This window comes from Homo sapiens, chromosome 7 (assembly GCF_000001405.40).
Source record: "Homo sapiens chromosome 7, GRCh38.p14 Primary Assembly".
Classification (NCBI taxonomy): Eukaryota; Metazoa; Chordata; class Mammalia; order Primates; family Hominidae; genus Homo; species Homo sapiens.
In genome coordinates, this window is record NC_000007.14 from 142,076,274 (window position 1) to 142,096,536 (window position 20,263).

General features: G+C 43.1%; 1 protein-coding gene across 12 annotated transcripts in view; it reads left to right on the plus strand.

Annotated features, from left to right (window-relative positions):
• MGAM (maltase-glucoamylase) overlaps positions 1 to 20,263 on the plus strand; it is a 120,230-nt gene that overhangs the window by 89,756 nt on the left and 10,211 nt on the right. For 9 of the 12 annotated variants that reach the window (XM_017012772.2, XM_047421011.1, XM_011516672.3 and 6 more), the window contains 19 exons: positions 386 to 553; positions 2,045 to 2,197; positions 2,535 to 2,735; positions 4,518 to 4,672; positions 5,769 to 5,937; positions 6,202 to 6,298; positions 7,028 to 7,140; positions 8,246 to 8,371; positions 9,560 to 9,688; positions 9,945 to 10,055; positions 10,382 to 10,444; positions 15,640 to 15,774; positions 16,248 to 16,335; positions 17,139 to 17,277; positions 18,091 to 18,224; positions 18,347 to 18,381; positions 18,474 to 18,590; positions 19,292 to 19,440; positions 20,058 to 20,142. In XM_017012772.2, coding sequence (XP_016868261.1) covers positions 386 to 553; positions 2,045 to 2,197; positions 2,535 to 2,735; positions 4,518 to 4,672; positions 5,769 to 5,937; positions 6,202 to 6,298; positions 7,028 to 7,140; positions 8,246 to 8,371; positions 9,560 to 9,688; positions 9,945 to 10,055; positions 10,382 to 10,444; positions 15,640 to 15,774; positions 16,248 to 16,335; positions 17,139 to 17,277; positions 18,091 to 18,224; positions 18,347 to 18,381; positions 18,474 to 18,590; positions 19,292 to 19,440; positions 20,058 to 20,142 — 2,367 coding nt within the window. The remainder of the gene's footprint in view (positions 1 to 385; positions 554 to 2,044; positions 2,198 to 2,534; positions 2,736 to 4,517; positions 4,673 to 5,768; positions 5,938 to 6,201; positions 6,299 to 7,027; positions 7,141 to 8,245; positions 8,372 to 9,559; positions 9,689 to 9,944; positions 10,056 to 10,381; positions 10,445 to 15,639; positions 15,775 to 16,247; positions 16,336 to 17,138; positions 17,278 to 18,090; positions 18,225 to 18,346; positions 18,382 to 18,473; positions 18,591 to 19,291; positions 19,441 to 20,057; positions 20,143 to 20,263) is intronic. The other 3 variants (XM_047421013.1, XM_024446990.2, NM_004668.3) reach the window with 3 other exon arrangements.

The following is a 20,263-nucleotide window of genomic DNA, read 5'->3' on the forward strand; positions in this document are numbered from 1 at the left end:
ATCTTAGGTGTGGGCTTTGGACTGACCATTAGCACATCTGTGCTTGTGTATATGTGTGATTATATTTGTAACTTTATATGCATTATTGGCTATAGGTGAGCACATTTCTATTTATGATTTCATCGATGTTTTCAAAAGGAGGCATTAATATAGCAAGTAGTGTTTCTAAATATAGTTTTTAATTATCTGTGTGTTTTTATGATTGTATCAAATTAGAGGATTATCAAACTAATGTTGTACTTCTTGAGCAGACACTAGTAGAGAAAGCAGAGAGGCATTCATGGCAGTGGGGGGTATCCAGTCTGGAATAGAATATATGAGTGACTTGAGAATCTGTGTATTACAGGCATACCTTTATGCATAATTGGAGTTAATTGTTTTGCAGAACCACTTGGAGGTGACTATTTCACAATCAACCTACAAGGACCCCAATAATTTAGCATTCAATGAGATTAAAATTCTTGGGATGGAGGAACCTAGCAATGTTACGGTGAAACACAATGGTGTCCCAAGTCAGACTTCTCCTACAGTCACTTATGATTCTAACCTGAAGGTAAAAACCCATTTTGTTGAGATGGTACATTGAGAATTCTCCATAGCACCATGATGTTTCTTCTTGCCAAGTTTGCATGGGTCCCTGAAGTACCAGGGCACCTTTGATGCATGTTTTGGGGAATTGAGAGGGCACCTTTGATGCCTTTTTTGGGGAAAAAAATGAGGTGGCCAGAGCTAGAATGAGTTGGGTATTTTTCTTCTTATTCCCTTCTCTGCCTATCAGTGTTCCCATCTCTCTAGCTGGTTTCACTTGCTTTTCCCAAAAATAGAATAATTATGATGAGACCCAGGAACAGCAAAGTTGGAAAGTGGGGAATAGCCTGACATTATTAGACTGTGAATTTTGTATGACTAGCACAAATAAGAATTGGTATTTGAAAAAGGCCAGCTTGGATAGGAAACTTGTGGTCAGGCTTTGGAGGTCTTAGTTACCAACTTGAATTAATTCTCAAGCAGTCTCATATTGATCCTTGAATGAAGGCTGTGCTACTGTGTGTGAGCATTGTTGGGAGTGGGAGTGGGGGCTGGGGACTAGTAGAACAGGGAAGTACAAGATGGTTTAGATTTAGAGGAGACTGGGAGAAGGATGATAATCTTTAGAATGTGATTTTATTACTCCAGACGTGTGAGAACTTTAACTTGGGAAGTGCTGTCTAGAGAAGCATCAAAGATAAGAAAAATATATGGAAAATATTAAATATTTGAATTAATAGGATTCAAGGAAGGTTTCAAATTTGCAGCCTTTATGCTTAGAAAAATAAAGATGCTGGGATGTTAGAAGTGGAAAGAAAGATGATTTTATTTCCACCTCTCAATTTTGCTGTTGCCAAAATTGAAATTCAAAGAAATGAATTAGAATTCCCAATTTGCCCTGATGTGATTATTATTCATTGTATGCCTGAATCAAAATATTTCATATACTCCATAAATATGTATACCTACTATATACTCATTAAAATTAAAAATTAAAAAAAGAAATCATTTGTCCAATATACTACATAAATGCGAGCATGATAACCAGGTCATATGATTCTTATTGCTGTGTTCTTTCTACCACTCCACGCCAATGGGGGATGCTGGTTTGGGGACTGGAGAGCAAGAGGATCAGCTCACTTTGAGATGACACCATGTGTCATGCTAAAGAGGAAGTGCAGAAGACACCCTTCCAGACAAGACACAGAGGGCTAAGAGGAGTTAGGGTAGAAAAGAATAAGGGGTGATCGCGACAGGTTTTATTTGACCTAATTGTTTTCATTATGCTATGTACAAGATTCTGCTAGAGGGGAGTCATATGCCCTGTTACTGCTAAATAGATTCCCCCACTGTACAGTTCTCTTCTTATAAGCTAAAGTGATATGTTGCTTGGATGGTTGAAAGTCTGGACTGATGTCTATTTGTTTTTCCAAAATAAATAAATAAATAAAGTCTTAGATTTTGCAAGGCCTTTCTCCCAAAGATGAATTTCCTTGTGATTTCTGCATTCCTACAGGTCGCCATTATCACAGACATCAATCTTTTCCTGGGAGAAGCATACACAGTGGAGTGGAGCATAAAGATAAGGGATGAAGAAAAAATAGACTGTTACCCTGATGAGAATGGTGATTCTGCAGAAAACTGCACTGCCCGTGGCTGTATCTGGGAGGTAACCATGCTGATGGGGTTCATGTGCATGAAAATCTCCACACCTAATCTATAGTTTCTTAAGCATAGCAGTGGCACTTATATAACTACTTAAAATCCATAGAAAGGACTTCCTAAGGGACATGATCTGGATGTGACAAGTAGGTGGGGACATGTGGAAAACTTTTTAAAATAAATATTTTGCTTGGAGACCAGGAAATTAAATTTATGTTATTGCCAAGTGATAAGTGATAGGCTGGTTTTATTGTCATATAAAATGACTTTTCTAACCCTGTTTAGGTTAGAGAACTTTAAGACCACATGCTGTGCTGATCTATGACTTTGGCCTTACTTTTCAGGCATCCAATTCTTCTGGAGTCCCTTTTTGCTATTTTGTCAACGACCTATACTCTGTCAGTGATGTTCAGTATAACTCCCATGGGGCCACAGCTGACATCTCCTTAAAGTCTTCTGTTCATGCCAATGCCTTCCCTTCCACACCCGTGAACCCCCTTCGCCTGGATGTCACTTACCATAAGAATGAAATGCTACAGTTCAAGGTAAACACGGTACATATATCAGGCAGTGATAAGACCCTTTTCAGTTCCATTATCTTTTTCTGGTTCAGGTCACACAACCCTAAAATAAGTTAATCATGCTACATTAGACTATGTCATTATCCAGAGAACATTGAGAAATCATTGAGGGAACAATGAGACCTGCCCTAATTTTCATTTGGAAAAGATTACTGTGGCTACTGTTAGGAAAATGGTTGGGAGAGCAAGAGTGGGTACGGAGAGACAAGTTGGGAGGCTGCCAGTTAGGCAGGTCAAGTGAGGGCTTAGGTTTGGACTAAATACTGGAATGAAGGTGGAGAACAGTGCACCTAGTTGAGATTCAGGAAGTTGGGTTACAGGGTCTGGTGCTTGATTGAAAGCAGGCGACAATGGAGAGGGAAGCATCAAGAATGATGACCGCGTTGGTATCTTGCATCTTAATATGGATGGTGCTGACATCAACCAGAATGGGAATACTGAAAAGGTTTGTGCTTGATCAATGTAAGATGATATGTTCAGTTTGGGATACTGAATTTGAGATACGTATAAAATAGCCACCAACCTGCAGCGATTTCATTTCTTTCCAGAATTTAATTGCATTTAAAGACTAGGGATGGACTAGCTGTTACGTCTGCTTCTCTATTAAACTAATCTTCTCAAGGATAGGAATGTGCCCTTTCCTCTTTGTGCTTCTGAAGTCTAATACAGAGCCTGGCAGATAGTTAGTGCTGTAATGTAATTGACAGAGTAAGTGAAAGTGATCAGGACATTGTCACATTGCCTGAAAATTTCTTTACAATCTGACATCAACCCGAATTCTGAGTTTTTGTACATCGTCTAATGCAGGGATGATGCTGTTGTATGTTTGTACCCTCATCATAGCACTAGCATGTTGTAGGCACCTAATGGGTTTGAAGTGAATGAACTTCCTTGGAGTTCTAGCCTTAACCATTGACTACTCTACCTCTTGACCATACAGTAGCTCTTTCCAAAATATTTGCCTCTTTCTGGCCCACTTTAATTCTCTCTGCCTTCGTGGTTGTTATTCTTCACCAGAATGACTTGATCTCTTTTCTGTGTTTGGTTAATGACTACCAAGTTTCTAATACTCTAGATTGTATTTCTCCTGGGAGACCATCTCAGTCTCCCAGAAACAATGTTAGGCATTTCCTTCTCTAGAGTCTCACAGCACTTCTACATAGCTCTCCCTTAGCACACATCACCCAGGTGTTGTGAGCTGCTCTCTTACACTTCTCATTTGCTTGTGAATTTCATAAAACCATAACACTGCCTTATTGAGCTCACATCCCTAGTGTCTTGTGCAGTGTCAGGCAGGGATGTAGTAGGTACTCATGAATCAGTTTAGATACCACCTTCAGCAAGGACATTCTGATTATTTTAATCAAATAGATTTCACTTTGGGGAGACACGTTATTTTTCAATTCAGAAAAGTTTTAAGGTATTTATATATTCTCATATACCCACAGAAAATAACAAGTAACATATTCATAAATACCACGCTGATTCCAGAATGATTTTCTACGTTAGCACCAATGTCACAATGCTTATATTGATGCAGTAGAGGCCTTAGTAATGAGAAATGACAGACAAACATATTAAATCTGACATTGTTATTTGATGTGTTAATTAAATCTCAGACATCATAAACTTAAAGAAGACAGAAACATAGCATCTGAACTTTTGTCCAAAAATCAAAAAGGTTCTGCTAAGGGTATAGGTTTCAAGAGTAGTATTCTTGCCTAAAATCGTTTTCCTCTGGCCTAGATTTATGATCCCAACAACAATCGGTATGAAGTTCCAGTCCCTCTGAACATACCCAGCGTGCCATCCAGCACCCCTGAGGGTCAACTCTATGATGTCCTCATTAAGAAGAATCCATTTGGGATTGAAATTCGCCGGAAGAGTACAGGCACTATAATGTGAGTGGCTTCTAGTGTGACTCAGAGTTGATGGCTACCTGCGCCTTCGCTGCCAGGTCCATTGTCCTTGGATGTATCCTGGTTCAAAACATCACATTGTCCACTTCCAGATCCATGGATGAGTTGTTTCCTTCAGACCTATTCTTACAGGAAATCTTTAGCATTCTGGAAATAATTACTGAGGCAGTTGAGCGTGCCTGAGGATTCATCCAACAAATGTTTATGGGGTGCCTTCTCTAGATTAGGTGCTGCTCCTTATAGACAACTGAGGTTTCTCTTCTCATGACAACAAATAATAAGTAAATAACAGAGATAATTTAAGTTATAGTATAAAAAGGAGATTGTGATAGTGATAATTGCTGTGTAGCCAAAAGAGCAGGGTAATTGAGGGTTATGGTGTGGTTACTGCTTCTGATATTGGGGTCAGAGTAGATCTCGCCAAGAAGGTGATATTTTAATAGGACCTGGATGAGAAGGAGCCACCCACATGAGACAGGGCGAAGGGAAAGAGCATTTCAGACAGAGGGAATAGGAAGTGGGTAGGCCAGGAGATGAAGCGAAGCTGGCATGCTAAAGAAAAGAAGTCTAGTGTGGTTGGAGCAATGGAGGAAGTAAGCAGGTGAGTGCTGGGAGAGGAAGCTGCAACGCCGGTTGAGGGGGCAGCTTCAGCCTTGAAGGCTTCATAAGATGTTTGCATGAGAAGCCATGGAAGAAGCACAAATGGGAGTGACATGAGGTGAGATCCTCGTAGGAATATCGCTTTGAGTGCTACGTAGAAAATGCGCTGAGGGGTGCAAGGGTGGAAGGCAGTGCTGGTGTGGAGTGTTCCCAGCTGTGATGGTGAGGGGAGCTTGTATTTGTATTGTAGAGGACCACTGAAAGGAGGCAGTGAGAGTGGGAAACAGATGAATGAAGAACTCCTGGGCTTTTAGTGGGGATATCTATGATATTTTAATCAAATTGAGTTTCAGTTTTGTTTGGGAGATGAACAGCTTCTGGGTAGGAATCAAGTGTTCTGTTGTCCTTGAAAAGTCAGCTGCTGGAAGCAGAGAGAAAAGCCCATTTTCTGTTTCAAATCTGCCTTTTTGTGTTTCAGTTGGGACTCTCAGCTCCTTGGCTTCACCTTCAATGACATGTTTATCCGCATCTCCACCCGCCTTCCCTCCAAGTACCTCTATGGCTTTGGGGAGACTGAGCACACGTCCTACAGGAGAGACTTGGAGTGGCACACTTGGGGGATGTTCTCCCGAGACCAGCCCCCAGGGGTAAGGACAGAGCATTTGAGATCTGTGTCTCTGCTTCTCTCCACCCACACTGCTCAGGCTTTGGGCTTCATCTTCCCAAACTCCACTTGGTCGTCACATTCTGCTTTTAGGCGAGTGGGCCAATTCTCAGGCTCCTTTGTTTCATGTGTTTAATTGATTTCATGGAGAAAACTAGACCCATCTTAGCAAGCATATTTTTGTTGAGTTTCTTTCTCAGGCATAATGTCTTTTAAACTCCTACTGCTTCTCCCCATGACTCTCCAGTACAAGAAGAATTCCTATGGTGTCCACCCCTACTACATGGGGCTAGAGGAGGATGGCAGTGCCCATGGAGTGCTCCTGCTGAACAGCAATGCCATGGGTAAGGCCATCCAGCGCCTCCCTTATTTTGGGGGGATACCAGTCATGCCTGAGTCAGTTTAGAATGTGTTTAGCCTAACTGTTCCTTGAAGTCAAAATCTTCATTTTACGGGCACTGCTGTTTATTTTTTCTTTGTGTTTAGCCTTTCTGTTCATTTCAGTCTAATATCATGTGATAAGAAGATTTAACCCAACTCTTATTTTGGTAAAAATCACATAAGAAGGGATAGTAAAACCACATGGGTCCCAAATGTCTTGGAGGTCAGCTCGTGAGAGCCAGTTATAAAATTTGAATTAGGGTAAAACTATGGGTCAGAGAAGTTAGTCTGGGGATTGTGAGGGTGTATGGTATGTTGAAAAGTTACCTATCGGGTACTACGTTTGCTATCTGGATGACAGGATTCATACCCCAAACTTCAGCATCGTGCAATATTCCCATGTAACAAATGTGAACATGTACCTCCTTATCCAAAATAAAAGTTGAAATGTAAACATAATTTTAAGAGTAGAACGACAAAATATAGTAAAATACACCAAAGGAAGCAAACCCAGGAATGGGACATTTAGACTTCCACTGAACTTCTTCAGTTCTATGTGATTATGATAGAAAATACTGGCTCTTACTACTCTACGATAGGGAGGGTGCAGGAAATAGAGAATGTGTGGATTTCAGGGGTGATTCATGACGTGGAAAGTTTCCAGCTTGATTAGCATTTTTCTTCATTTTCAGATGTGACGTTCCAGCCCCTGCCTGCCTTGACATACCGTACCACAGGGGGAGTTCTGGACTTTTATGTGTTCTTGGGGCCAACTCCAGAGCTTGTCACCCAGCAGTACACTGAGGTAGGGAGAAATCCAATTGTTTATCAAGTACTTATATAGCACATTCTGGGTGCCAGAGCCCACATTCATTAGTATAACTCTCAGATGATAACTGGAATTATTGGTATTACTTGGAAAGAGATTATAGAATAAGGAAAAATAAATACATTCTAATCACCATTAAATTTATAGCCTCTGTAAGCATTGCAGAATAGCAGAAGTTACAGTGGTACTAGTGGTGGTGATGGTAGTGATAGTAGTATGGTGGTGGTGGTATTTGTGGTTATATGGTGGTGGTGATGGTGATGATGGTGGTAGGGGATGATGGTGGTGATAGTGATGTGGGAATGGTGATAATGATGGTGGTAGTAGTAGTGGTGTTGGTGATGGTGATGATAGTGGTGGGGGTGGTGTTGATGGGAGTGTTGGTGATGGTGGTGATAGTGGTGGTGATGGTGACGATGATGGGGTGGTGATGGTTGGTGTTTGATAGTGATGGTGGTGGTGGCTATGGTGGTGGTAGTGGTGGTGACAGTGGGGTGGTGTGAAGAATATGGTGGTGGTAGTGGTGGTGATGGTGAAAATAGTGATGATGGTGGTGACCATGGTTGTTGTGGCAGCAGCAGCAAACACTTATGTACTACCTACTGCACATCACTGATTTATTACTTGCTGCATGTTAGAGCACTTTGCACATAGTAACTCATTCAGTCTTCACAAAAGGACTGTGAGGGAGATGCTATTATTATACCCTTATTTACAGATGAAGAAACTGAAGCACTAAGAGATTACTTAATTTTTGCCTAAGGTCTCACAGCTAGCAGGACTGGAGCCTGTATCTAAGCCAGGCATTTTGCCTCTGATTCTGGGTTTCTTAACCAGTTACCTACAGTGTCTCTAGGAATGGAGTGAAATCAGCTTTTCCATAATTTTTAAGAAGGAGCTCAAGTCTAGCAGAAAGCTTTCTCCAAGTATCCTAGTGGCTCTATATCCTGTCAGTTTTGATGTGGAATTCAATTAGTTAGTTGTCTAGCTTGGGGCACAGAAAAATATTCTTATTACTTGATGTAAAACTTCAATCTGGTGTCTCTGTTCTGAGGACTAATATTTTCTGTCTATTTTCTAGTTGATTGGCCGGCCTGTGATGGTACCTTACTGGTCTTTGGGGTTCCAGCTGTGTCGCTATGGCTACCAGAACGACTCTGAGATCTCCAGCTTGTATGATGAGATGGTGGCTGCCCAGATCCCTTATGTACGTTCTCAGTCATGGCTCTGGAGTTTGAAAACTAACCCAGGTGCCTCTGTGTCTGGCTTCATTTGTCTAATGTTTGTGAGATTCTATAAAGACATAATGTTCTTTTTCAGACAATATCACAGTTAGCCTCACCCCAGCACAGTAATAGAGGTAAGGGCCCTTGTTTCCATCTTCTAGAGATGATAGCTCAAGACTTACTGTGATTTCCCAGAGGGGGAGATAAGCTGGCTCCAGGGCTCTTTCTACTATCTCATGCTTCCTTCCATTTCTTTCACATGACTTCAAAACATGTAGTCAAAATGTCCTTGGTTCCATAAGAATAAATAATATCCACAGTTCTTTTACTTAATTCCTGAAAAAAACTAACCCCAAACCATCAGACCATTGTATATGTGGATACGACCTCAGTTCCCGCAGCCCTGGTGCTGTAGCACAGTGTCCCATGAGCTCTGAGCTAATCACTGATGGAATACACGGATCCTGGAATGGGTTCCAGAGGATGTACACATGGAAATAAAGCTTATCCTTCACTGGAGGATGGGAGGGGACCCAGTCATCAGGCAACTGATCCAATGTACCATCGCATATCTAATTGTATTCTACATTTCTCTTGTTTTACAGTAGCTCCATTAGTGGAACATAGCGTTTCCATTAGTGGATAGTGAAATGCAATATTTCATTCTCCAGAAGAATGTAGTGTCTGATTTCCCTCAAGATTGGGTATTCCAAAGCAACTGTACATTGTTGCTTTGTTTTGACTTGTTTTGCAGTAGATTTACCATCCACATTGTATTAGCCCTGGGTAGTTAATATTATTTTTTCTAAGCATGAACCACTGATACCAGGGGCAGCCTCTTGAGGGAGGTCATCACAGTCACTCCTGATAGTGGCAGTTTACAAAGCACTGTCCATTCCAGTGTTCGTATTTATCCTCAGAATAGCCATCTTAGAGAGGCATTCTCATCCTATTTTATGCTGACTTTGATTTTTTTCTATCTTATCACTGAACGTTTGAGAAATTAAGTGAATTTCCCAGCACCTGTACCTAACAAATGGCAGAGCTCGGACTTGAAAGCATCAACAAGAAGCTATCTGGAATTCCACCATGGGTGGTGGAGGCTTGTTCTCCTATAAAGCTTGGGCGTGTACAGCAGCAGCCTCTCAGCTCCCCATGTCCTCCCGCAGGACGTGCAGTACTCAGACATCGACTACATGGAGCGGCAGCTGGACTTCACCCTCAGCCCCAAGTTTGCCGGGTTTCCAGCTCTGATCAATCGCATGAAGGCTGATGGGATGCGGGTCATCCTCATTCTGGTTAGTCCTGATGTGAATGTGTGCGGTCTGTTTGGGAGCAGGTATGGGTTTTGTTGGAGAAAGTGTTATACTTTATTTCCATGTTGCAAGTAGATAAATTGAAGTGTAGTAAGAAATGTGTATTTCCCTGGACTCACAGAAACTCTACAGTTCAGGTAGAAGCCAACAAGTTCGCCCTGGAGGAGTTCTCCTTCATTCTGTTTCTCTTCATTCTGTGGCTTTGATTTTTCCCAACTGACTTATGCTTTGATTTCAGGATCCAGCCATTTCTGGCAATGAGACACAGCCCTATCCTGCCTTCACTCGGGGCGTGGAGGATGACGTCTTCATCAAGTACCCAAATGATGGAGACATTGTCTGGGGAAAGGTATAATCCTAAGCGATGATCCAGTAGTCCCTAGCCTGAGGGTGGGTCACTGTTAGAGGGTCACACGCCTGTGTATGTTATTTTTGGCCTTTTCTATTTGGGCTCTGAGGTCAGAAGCTCTCCTTTTCTCAATCAATATTTGTTGATACAGTTAATAACTTTTAAGTAATATAATGTGTTACGGAATTCACTTCTCTTTTACATCAATCCTACATGATAATCAAAGTATTGCTCCTAGGAACATGGTTTATATAATAATTTCTTTGGAAATACTATGTAAGGGAAATTGTCTAGTGCATCGCTACTGAACATGTTTCTCTCCATAGGTCTGGCCTGATTTTCCTGATGTTGTTGTGAATGGGTCTCTAGACTGGGACAGTCAAGTGGAGGTAAAGGGTCTTTGTAAATTTGGGTGGAGTCAGGGTTTCTAGGAAGGGGCAGCCGTTCCTGGGAATGTGGACATGCCTGTACTGTGGACATGGGCTTGGCAAGGGAGAAACACTTAGGGCATGTGTGTTGGATGTCAGTCTGTGTGCCCATTACTTTATAGGTAGTCATACTTTACTGGCCACTGGGATGTAGACATGTATTATTATCCTTGGGATTTAAGACCAGAGAGCTCAGATGACTTGTCCACGGTTTTAGGTGACAGAGTGTTGATTTCAATTCCAAGGCTGTCAGATTACAAAGGCCCAAGAAATTCCCACTGGGCGATACCTCCTAGCAGTGCCATCTTTTCTCTGAACTGGTATACTTAACTGTTGTTGCCTTGGTTATCCCTTTTAAACAGTCTTCTAACCTCAAAGACTGTTTAGGTCTTTTTTTGGTGTATCTTTTTTTTTTCCATGAACACGTTTCTCCCTTTCCACACTTATAATTCCTCCTCTGAGCCCAATCCTTCCTTGGGTTTCTCAACTTTGCTTTTACCTCTCAGTTTCCAGCCTTACTGTAAAACTTGCTCTCTTCTGGGGATGGTTTGTTGCTTGTAATGGATCCAAGTAGCCCATGCTTCTGTACCTGAATTTTTTTCCAGATTCACTAAGCGTTTCTTGCTTGAATGATACATGGCTCCTTACAGGTCTAGGAAGGCTACGGCCCCATCCTCTGGCCAAGATGTGTGTCTCCTGAACTGAGGCAGCCTGTGTGCTTTACTATCAATTGTTGTGACAGTACCCACAGGCAGGATTCTTAGTGCGGGTCCAAGGGCTTCCTGGAGACCAAGTACCTTGCCCTACCTCTGGAGCTGTTCTTCAATAATGCCTATTCTTTCTGGGCAGGAATTGTAGCAGGGCATGTGTAGCCTATGTGACCCCCACAGAAAAGCTGGGGAGACAAGGAAAAGGCCTCTTTTCTAGAACATCTGCCAGGAATTGAAGGGACAAAGAAGCTGACTTGTGCAGTCAGCAATGCGGTATATGTTGTAGTGTCTAGATACTCTCTCAGGATCAAGTATTAATCAGACAAATATCCATGTTGTGGGCACAAATCCCAGCAGCTGTAATTCTGTTAGCAGCCACTCAGAAGTCCAGGGGCAAAGACCTCTTTTGGGAGTTCTTTCTACGTAATGTAAGATTGTATCCCATGGACAGAGGTGCAGGAGAAACATTGATCACCAGGAATGTGACTGGTGATCACCAGGAATATTGGAGTTAGGCCAAATATTCATGCCTTATCCAGATAAGCTGGTTTTCAGGGCAAGTGGTGAGTCCTAGAGGGAAAGGCAGATATTAGACAGAACCACACAATCTGGAGCCAGGGACTGAGGCCTGGCACAGCTCTGATAGGGTAGGGAGAACAGATGGTACTGCAAACACGTGATGCATACTTCTCTGTTGTCAGTCTCTGGCCTCCTGGATCCCAGAGCCAGTTGGCAGCAGTAGCACTATTGATTTAAAATGAGACACACTTGGCACCAGGCTGCTTGGCTATTGGACTGCATGTCTTTATTTACTGTCAGTAGATGCAGTAAAACAAAACAAACAAAACAGAAGCTGGGGCTGGTTTTGAAGATTGGCAAGAACGAGTCAGACTCAGTTCAAGGCTGTTTTCCTTATGTCTACTACTGAACAAGTATCTATCTATCTATCTATGTATATCCATGTACCCATCTATGTATGTATGTATGTATGTATGTACGTATCTATCTATCTACCTATCTCAGTCTATCATATCTATGTATCTACCGATCAATGTATTAATTCATCCACCCACTCTATCTATCCATCCATCCTCTATCTATCTATCTATCATCTACCTCATCTATCTATATCTATCTATCTATCTATCCACTCTATCTACTCAGGTTATATCTATCTTTCTATCTGTCTGTCTATCTATCTATCTATCTATCTATCTATCTATCTATCTATCCATCCAGCCACCCTATTCATTTATGTCTGTCTGTCTGTCTGTCTGTCTGTCTATCTATCTATCTATCTATCTATCTATCTATCTATCTATCTATCTATCTATCATTCTATCCTATCTATGTACCATCTATCTATCTATCTATCTATCTATCTATCTATCTATCTATCTATCTAATCTATCTCCACCTCTATTCATCCACTCACCCTATCTATCCAAATCCCTCTTCTGTCTATCATTTATCTACCTATTTATATATCATCTATCTCTATGTATGTATGTATGTATGTATGTATGTATGTATCTATCTATCTATCTATCTATCTATCTATCTATCTATACTGTTCAAGGGAGAAGACCTAGCTTCCTGTCCTCTCGTCACCTCTCACAGAGAATCACTTGAAGCTTAGTGGTCCAAGCAGCCCACATGGACACAGGAACCTGCCCAGCCAGAGAAGTTCTGGGTCATGGGCTTCCTGACTTTTATCAAGTAGTCAGTATCAGAACCCCACAGTTCATCAGCCAGTAGGGGCAACACTGCCATCCTGAGGCAATTTGGAAATCTGAGGGCAGTGTTGGTTATCACAGGGACACCAGAGGCATTCAGTGGGCAGTGGGCAGGGATGCCCATAGCTCTGATTTCAGGGAATTCTCCACAAAATATCTCTCACCTCAAACGCCAGTTATACCCCTGATGAGAAACACTTCATTAGGGAGTCACAGAATCTGTTAGCTCATAAGAAATTCTTGGTAGATAGGATAATTATAACTATTGGTTGGTACAAAGGTAATTGTAGTTTTTGCCATTGAAAGTTATTAAAAGTAGGCCGGGCATGGTGGCTCATGCCTGCAATCCCAGCACTTTGGGAGGCTGATCACGAGGTCAGGAGTTCAAGATCAACCTGACCACCATGGTGAAACCCCATCTTTACTAAAAATACAAAAGTTAGCCAGGCGTGGTGGCACGCGCCTGTAATCCCACTTAGGAGGCTGAGGTAGGAGAATCGCTTGAACCCGGGAGGCAGAGGTTGCAGTGAGCCAGGATTGAGCCACTGCACTCCAGCCTGGGTGACACAGCGAGACTCCGTCTCAGAAGAAAAAAAAAGGAAGGAAAGTTATTAAAAGTAATGACAAAAACTTCAATTACCTTTGCACCAACCTAATATTTATATTATTAATAAAGACCCACTCGATGAAGCTGGTGAGGATGAAGCCACTGATGTCCAGGTCTGGCTTTACTGAATATAAAACAAACAGCCAACAGCCCCATGAAAAGCAGATTTCTGAGTCCAAAGCTCCAGCAATTTAATTCAATAAGTCTGATGGGATCTAGGAATTGCATTTTGTAGCATGCAATGTGCCACAAAAAGAGTGCTAGGTGATCCTGAGGCCCAGTGTGTGGGTGGTTATATCACTGTTTGAAGACTGGAGAAAGTGAAGGCAGAAGCCACAAAGGCAAGACTTGAATATGCACAGGTGTAAGGTAGAGCCAGCACGTTGGAGAACGGCAGAACATTTTTATGAAGTTGGAAGGGGTCATCCGAGCAGTACTTAGGGAAGTTCCTACATCATGGCTGGCCAAGTTCACCACGTGTACCCCATATGGGATACAATTCTGACTCAGCTGTGGCTGATAATCTCTTTATTCTAATTCTCCATCCCCCACCCATCCCGTCGTTTCTAACCCTTCCTGATCTGGAGCTCTCTGTTTCTGGTGAAAGATTCTCTTTGTCAGGTTTCCTAGCTTCTACCTCCATTTCCTAACAAAAGGCATCCCTGGCATGCCCACTTCTGTCAAGATTCTCCGTGATGTGACCCACTGTCTTCTCACATCCTTGACAGCCAGACCCATGTAGGCTGGTCTGTTTCTGTTTTCTCATGTTCCTTTTCTTGCCCTTTATGTAGACATATGGGTTCCTACCTGCCTTTTGTCTATTGTGTGTAAGAACTGGAGTTCCCCAGACCAAGTCCTCATTCTGTTGCCTCCCCGAACCTCCTCACCAGCATTCTTTAGCTCTTTAACTCTTACAATGGTGTGATTGTCATAAAGGAGGCTATTTACTGAGACATACAAAGGACCATAATGTTCCGTAACAAGCAACATTTATTTGCTGCTTCGAAGTGGTGTGAACCCACCATTAAACAGTGAGTATATATTTTGTGTCAAGTTCTAAGCTAAGCATTGTGCAAAATATAAATGTCACTCAGATGAATATAAAACAAGCTTCTTGCTCTCAAAAGTCTACAATGTAGTTAAGAAGTTGTATCTGGCTGGGCATGGTGTCTCATGCCTGTTATCCTATCACTTTGGGAGGCTGAGGTGTGTGGATCACTTTAGGTCAGGAATTTGAGACCAGCCTGAACAACATGAGGAAACTACGTCTCTACTAGAAATACAAAAATTAGCCAGGTGTAGTGGTGTGTGCCTGTAATCCCAGCTACTCAGGAGGCTGAGGCAAAAGAATCGCGAGAACCTGGAAGGCAGAGGTTTCAGTGAGCCGAGGTAGCACCACTGCACTCTAGCCTGGGTGGGTGACAGAGCAAGACTCTGTCTCAAAAAAAAAAAAAAAGAAGTTGTACCTTTAACCCATCTTGCAGGTTAAAACAAAAACACACCTGTTATTATCTGAAGAAAGATGAAAATAAGGGGAAGTTGAAATGTCCTCTTTAAGTCCTCTCAATTTATCTTCCACACAGCTGTAGTTGTCATGTGATTCTGAAATTGTAGAAAACACTGAGGTGTACTGGTCTTATATCCTGAAATGTAATCTTATTCCTTCCTCCCCTCTCGCAGTGGGAATGACATAGGAGGGAGTCCCTGGGTGTTTCTTCCTAACCTATTACCATGCATCTCATGTCTGCAGTCTCTCCCTGGCTTTGTCTTTGAGGAGTGCATAGGAAATGGCAGGACTGACATTGAGGGTTGGGCATCGAATGCATGAGGTCACTAGTTCGGGTCATTGATTGTCATCATCCATGTATATATGAAGAGAACAGTTTTTGGATGTTTTCCAAATGCCGGGAAGGTGTGCAAATTGCACTAATTTCTCCTCTCATTCTACATTTCTCTAATAAGTTAATAACATTATTTAGGCCCTGTTCAGGCCGTCTGTCACCATGCAGTTGAAGTATTTGTGCGAGTTGCATTCTCAGTAAGTGCCTGTTTGCTGTCTTCTATATTTGTGTGGGACAAAGAAATTATATTTCTTTTTTATAGCTATATCGAGCTTATGTGGCCTTCCCAGACTTTTTCCGTAATTCAACTGCCAAGTGGTGGAAGAGGGAAATAGAAGAACTATACAACAATCCACAGAATCCAGAGAGGAGCTTGAAGTTTGATGGCATGTGGATTGTAAGTGTGTGTGTGTCTCTGTGTACCAGTGACACTTGTCTATCTTTGTGTGCCTACGTGTATGTACCACTGACCTTCAGTCAAGAGGATAGTCATTGTCCAAGGAAGACTTTGGACATATCAGACACTTCCTCCTCTCAGGAGAGGAACAGCCCTGATAGCCCTCACACCTTCTACCAGACCTGACATTACTACTATAAAACCTCTGAGGCAATTGACTAGGAATTTCTTGGAACTTTCACTGCCTCACGCCCACCTTGAGAGAGATTTTTTTTTAACCCTCTAGCCAGTTGTTCTGTAGGGGTGAATTCATCTTTCTAGCCAGTTCTCACCAGGATTTGATGAAGCTCCCAGGGCTGGCATCTATAGGGATTACTGGATGTTGAACAATGTATTCACTGCTTCCTTGGCTCAGAATTGGCAGGACGTAATTATCTTAAAAAGTGAGGTATGTCTGTGTTTGGCATTTCTAGGATATGAATGAACCATCAAGCTTCGTGAATGGGGCAGTTTCTCCAGGCTGCAGGGATGCCTCTCTGAACCACCCTCCCTACATGCCGTGTAAGAATCCTTGGCCTTCTTGATTGGCAGAGCCATGATTGAAAGAAGGATTACACTGGAGGAGCCCGAGGCCAGGGGTGGCCGCACAGCTCAGGGCACATCCTCATGGCTGCTGTGGTTTACTGGGGACCAGAGACAAAAGCTCTGCACGCGCTTTACCCAGCTGGGCATGTGCAAGTGACTAGACTCATTGCACAAATTTTTTGAATTTGTCTAGAAAACACTTACGAGTGGTCATGCCACCAAAGGGTTCTCACAGCTAGGCTTGTTAGTTTTTTAGGCTTATGTGAATTCCATCACAGGAATTTTTTGGTGTCATCAATGGGTGGAAATTATTGGCTTGCCTTTATTGTGGAGCTGATGGACTTTGGAGTTACACTTGGGTTCATATCTTGGTTCCAGAAATTGTTCTCTCTAGGAGTTTTGTGACTTTTCACAGATTATGCGATATGTCCAAATCTCAGTCTGCTAAACTGTAAAAGACAGGTAATGAGATCTTCTTCATAGAATTATGGAAATAATTGGCAAGTCAAAAGCCTAAATAAGAGCCTGTCATATAGTGTTTGACAGCTGTACATTCTTCCTGACACCTCTGCTTTCTTCAGTGAACTTGATGTTGGAAACACTGGAGCCGCCGTTGCAGCTCAGAGCTGGGGGCGCTGTGCTCATGTCTCTGGGAAGACGGAGAGTGACACAGGCAGGACTGAAGTTAGTCTTAAGATCCAGGGCCCAGTCCCTTGAAGAGAAGTCAGGGAGAAACAGAATCAGGGCTGGATTTCACCTCACCAGTTCTTCCTCCTCAGATTTGGAGTCCAGGGACAGGGGCCTGAGCAGCAAGACCCTGTGCATGGAGAGTCAGCAGATCCTCCCAGACGGCTCCCCGGTGCAGCACTACAATGTGCACAACCTGTACGGGTGGTCCCAGACCAGACCCACATACGAGTGAGTCTCTGTCTCCCTTCTCCAGCTGTCACAACCTGTAGGGATTGCCAGTGACTGACATAGCTACCCTACTTTTCTTTTCATTCCCATTCTAAGGGTTAAGAAGATTCTCATGACAACTGTGTAATGATTCTTATTAGATAAACACTTAGTGACATGGAGCCAGGCCCTGTGATTAAAAGGAGGAGGACAGATTTAAATAAGGCATGGTCCCACCAGTGAAAAGCTTAATGATCCTAGTGGGAAAGACTCACATGGAGACATCATAATGATCACAGAGGGCAGCCGGTGGTACAACAGCTTCAGTTACAGGAGGTGAAGGGAACACAGAGGACTGGGCATCTCTCCCCTTTATTTCAAAGTGAATCATCTTTGGAGTTCTTTTTTGTTTTTCACCATTCTTGGTGGAGGCTAATTGGTATTCCACTGAATTAGCACAGTCCTGCTTTGTAAGCTCAATTAATAGTGTGAATTCTTCTAAGGACGATCTTATAATCTTCACTGTGTTCCTCCTCAAATATAGAAAACTAAGTTTTGGGGAAACCAATAGCAAGATTTAGTAATTCCTTACTATTTTTGGGGCACTCCAGTGAGTTTGCTACAGTGAAGTTCTTTGTAAAGCACTGTGAGAACACGTGACTCGTTATCTCCATCATCTGGGATCAGTGGAGCCCCCATTACAGCTCAGAGTCCCGTGTTCCCTCCAATCACGCAGCAAACATTGACTAGGCTCAAGGGCTCTGGGAGCAGATGCTCTATGGCCTTTGCTTCCTGGCGGTGCCCTCAGTTCACCTCCTTTTCCCCTCCAACCAGAGCCGTGCAGGAGGTGACAGGACAGCGAGGGGTCGTCATCACCCGCTCCACATTTCCCTCTTCTGGCCGCTGGGCAGGACATTGGCTGGGAGACAACACAGCCGCGTGGGATCAGCTGAAGAAGTCTATCATTGGTGCGTGGGTCCTTCCCAGGGCCTGTGCCGGTAGGGCAGGGAGTTGGGATCCTTGGGGAAGAGGTGAGGAGGCAGGTCGTGAGAGCGAGCCTGGTGTGACACAGCTGTGCTTCTCGTTGCAGGCATGATGGAGTTCAGCCTCTTCGGCATATCCTATGTGAGTGTCCTTGGGATCCTCCTAAGCACCAAGAAGGTGGGGACATCTTTCAGAAATCATCAGCAGGCTCCTTTTATTTCCTCTTGTTTCAGACGGGAGCAGATATCTGTGGGTTCTTTCAAGATGCTGAATATGAGATGTGTGTTCGCTGGATGCAGCTGGGGGCCTTTTACCCCTTCTCAAGAAACCACAACACCATTGGGACCAGGGTAGGACAGTGGCCCCTACCTCCAGTGTTTCACTTGAAACACAGCCTCCATTTCTGACCTAAAGTTAATGCAGTCTGTATTTCCTGTGATATCTTTAAAATTTTTTTTTTTTTTCTTTTGAGACAAAGACTCATTCTATTGCCTAAGCTGGATCTTGCAGTGTCCCAATCATGGCTGACTGCAGCCTTGACCTCTGGGGCTCAAGCGACTCACCTACCTCAGCCTCTTGAATAGCTGGGACTACAGGCACATACCAACGTGCCCAGCTAATTTTTGTGTTTTGTAGAGATGGGATCTTGCCATATTTCCCAAGCTTGTCTCGAACTCGTGGCCTCAGTCCCCGAAAGTGCTGGGATTACAGGCGTGAGCCACTGCACCCTTATAAATTGTTAAGCCCATGGGTCTCAGTGAGCCATATTCCTCAGTGTTCTTTAGGTTATTATTATGTTTTGTTCTTCTTGTTTGGGCAGAATTGTAAAAAATATACCAAAAAGAATGTCTTACAGTGAAATTTCATCAGCTGTCCTAGGAGAGCATCAGTGAACTTTTCCAGTCTATTAAGAATATTCTCTGGGCCTCATGTGTAGTTTTCTTTTGTTTAGCTGTGAGTGATCTTCAATTGGAGTATGCTTTCAGTGACCTTCTTAAATCCCCTAGAAATTCCAGGGCAAGCTCCCAACACTGTTCTCTTTCTCCTTTAGAGACAAGACCCTGTGTCCTGGGATGTTGCTTTTGTGAATATTTCCAGAACTGTCCTGCAGACCAGATACACCCTGTTGCCATATCTGTATACCTTGATGCATAAGGCCCACACGGAGGGCGTCACTGTTGTGCGGCCTCTGCTCCATGAGTGAGTGTCCAGCAGGGATCCCAATGCCTAATGGATGACTTATTGCATTCTATATGGTGACAGTTGAATTCTTCCAAATTAAAGACATGATTGCCTTTTGACATGAGCTCTTCAGGTGCAGACCATACTTTATTACTCTCTTTAGCACAGTGCTATACATGCCTTAGGTCATTAATAAAAGGTTATTGATTGAATGAGCAAAACTGAAATGATGCAGTATAGCATAGAATAATTTCTTTCTAATTTGGCTGTGCAAAGGCCTATCTATCTTTTGTAGCAGTTTGGTTATATGTAGCCAGATCACAGGAGAAGGATTTCAGGAAGAGATTTGAGGGAAAAGGGCCATCCTTGCATTTGAAGTTTGCCATGGTTGAGAAATGGGGCAAGTATTTTACAAGAGAGAATACATCTACATCCCAGCATTTCTGAAGTTTGAGGCACATCCCATGGGGAAAGCAGAGGCTGGGTGCTCCTGATGAAGCTAGGCCTAGGAAAAAGGCAAGGATGGCTCAGGGGCAGCTGTATTTCCGACTTGGATCTGAACTTGAGGAGCTTCTTCAGAGTGTCGGGCTGGGGCTCTGTTGGGCTCTGTTGGGCACCTTCATTTCCCTTTCCAGGTTTGTGTCAGACCAGGTGACATGGGACATAGACAGTCAGTTCCTGCTGGGCCCAGCCTTCCTGGTCAGCCCTGTCCTGGAGCGTGTGAGTATGGAGGCCTCCGATGAGGGGAGGATCCCAGCTGTGAGGCTTGGGGAAAAGGACGAGGAGAAGAGGCCTGAGCTGGTGGGGGTCCTAAGACATGGTTTCTTATTCTACCTGTGTC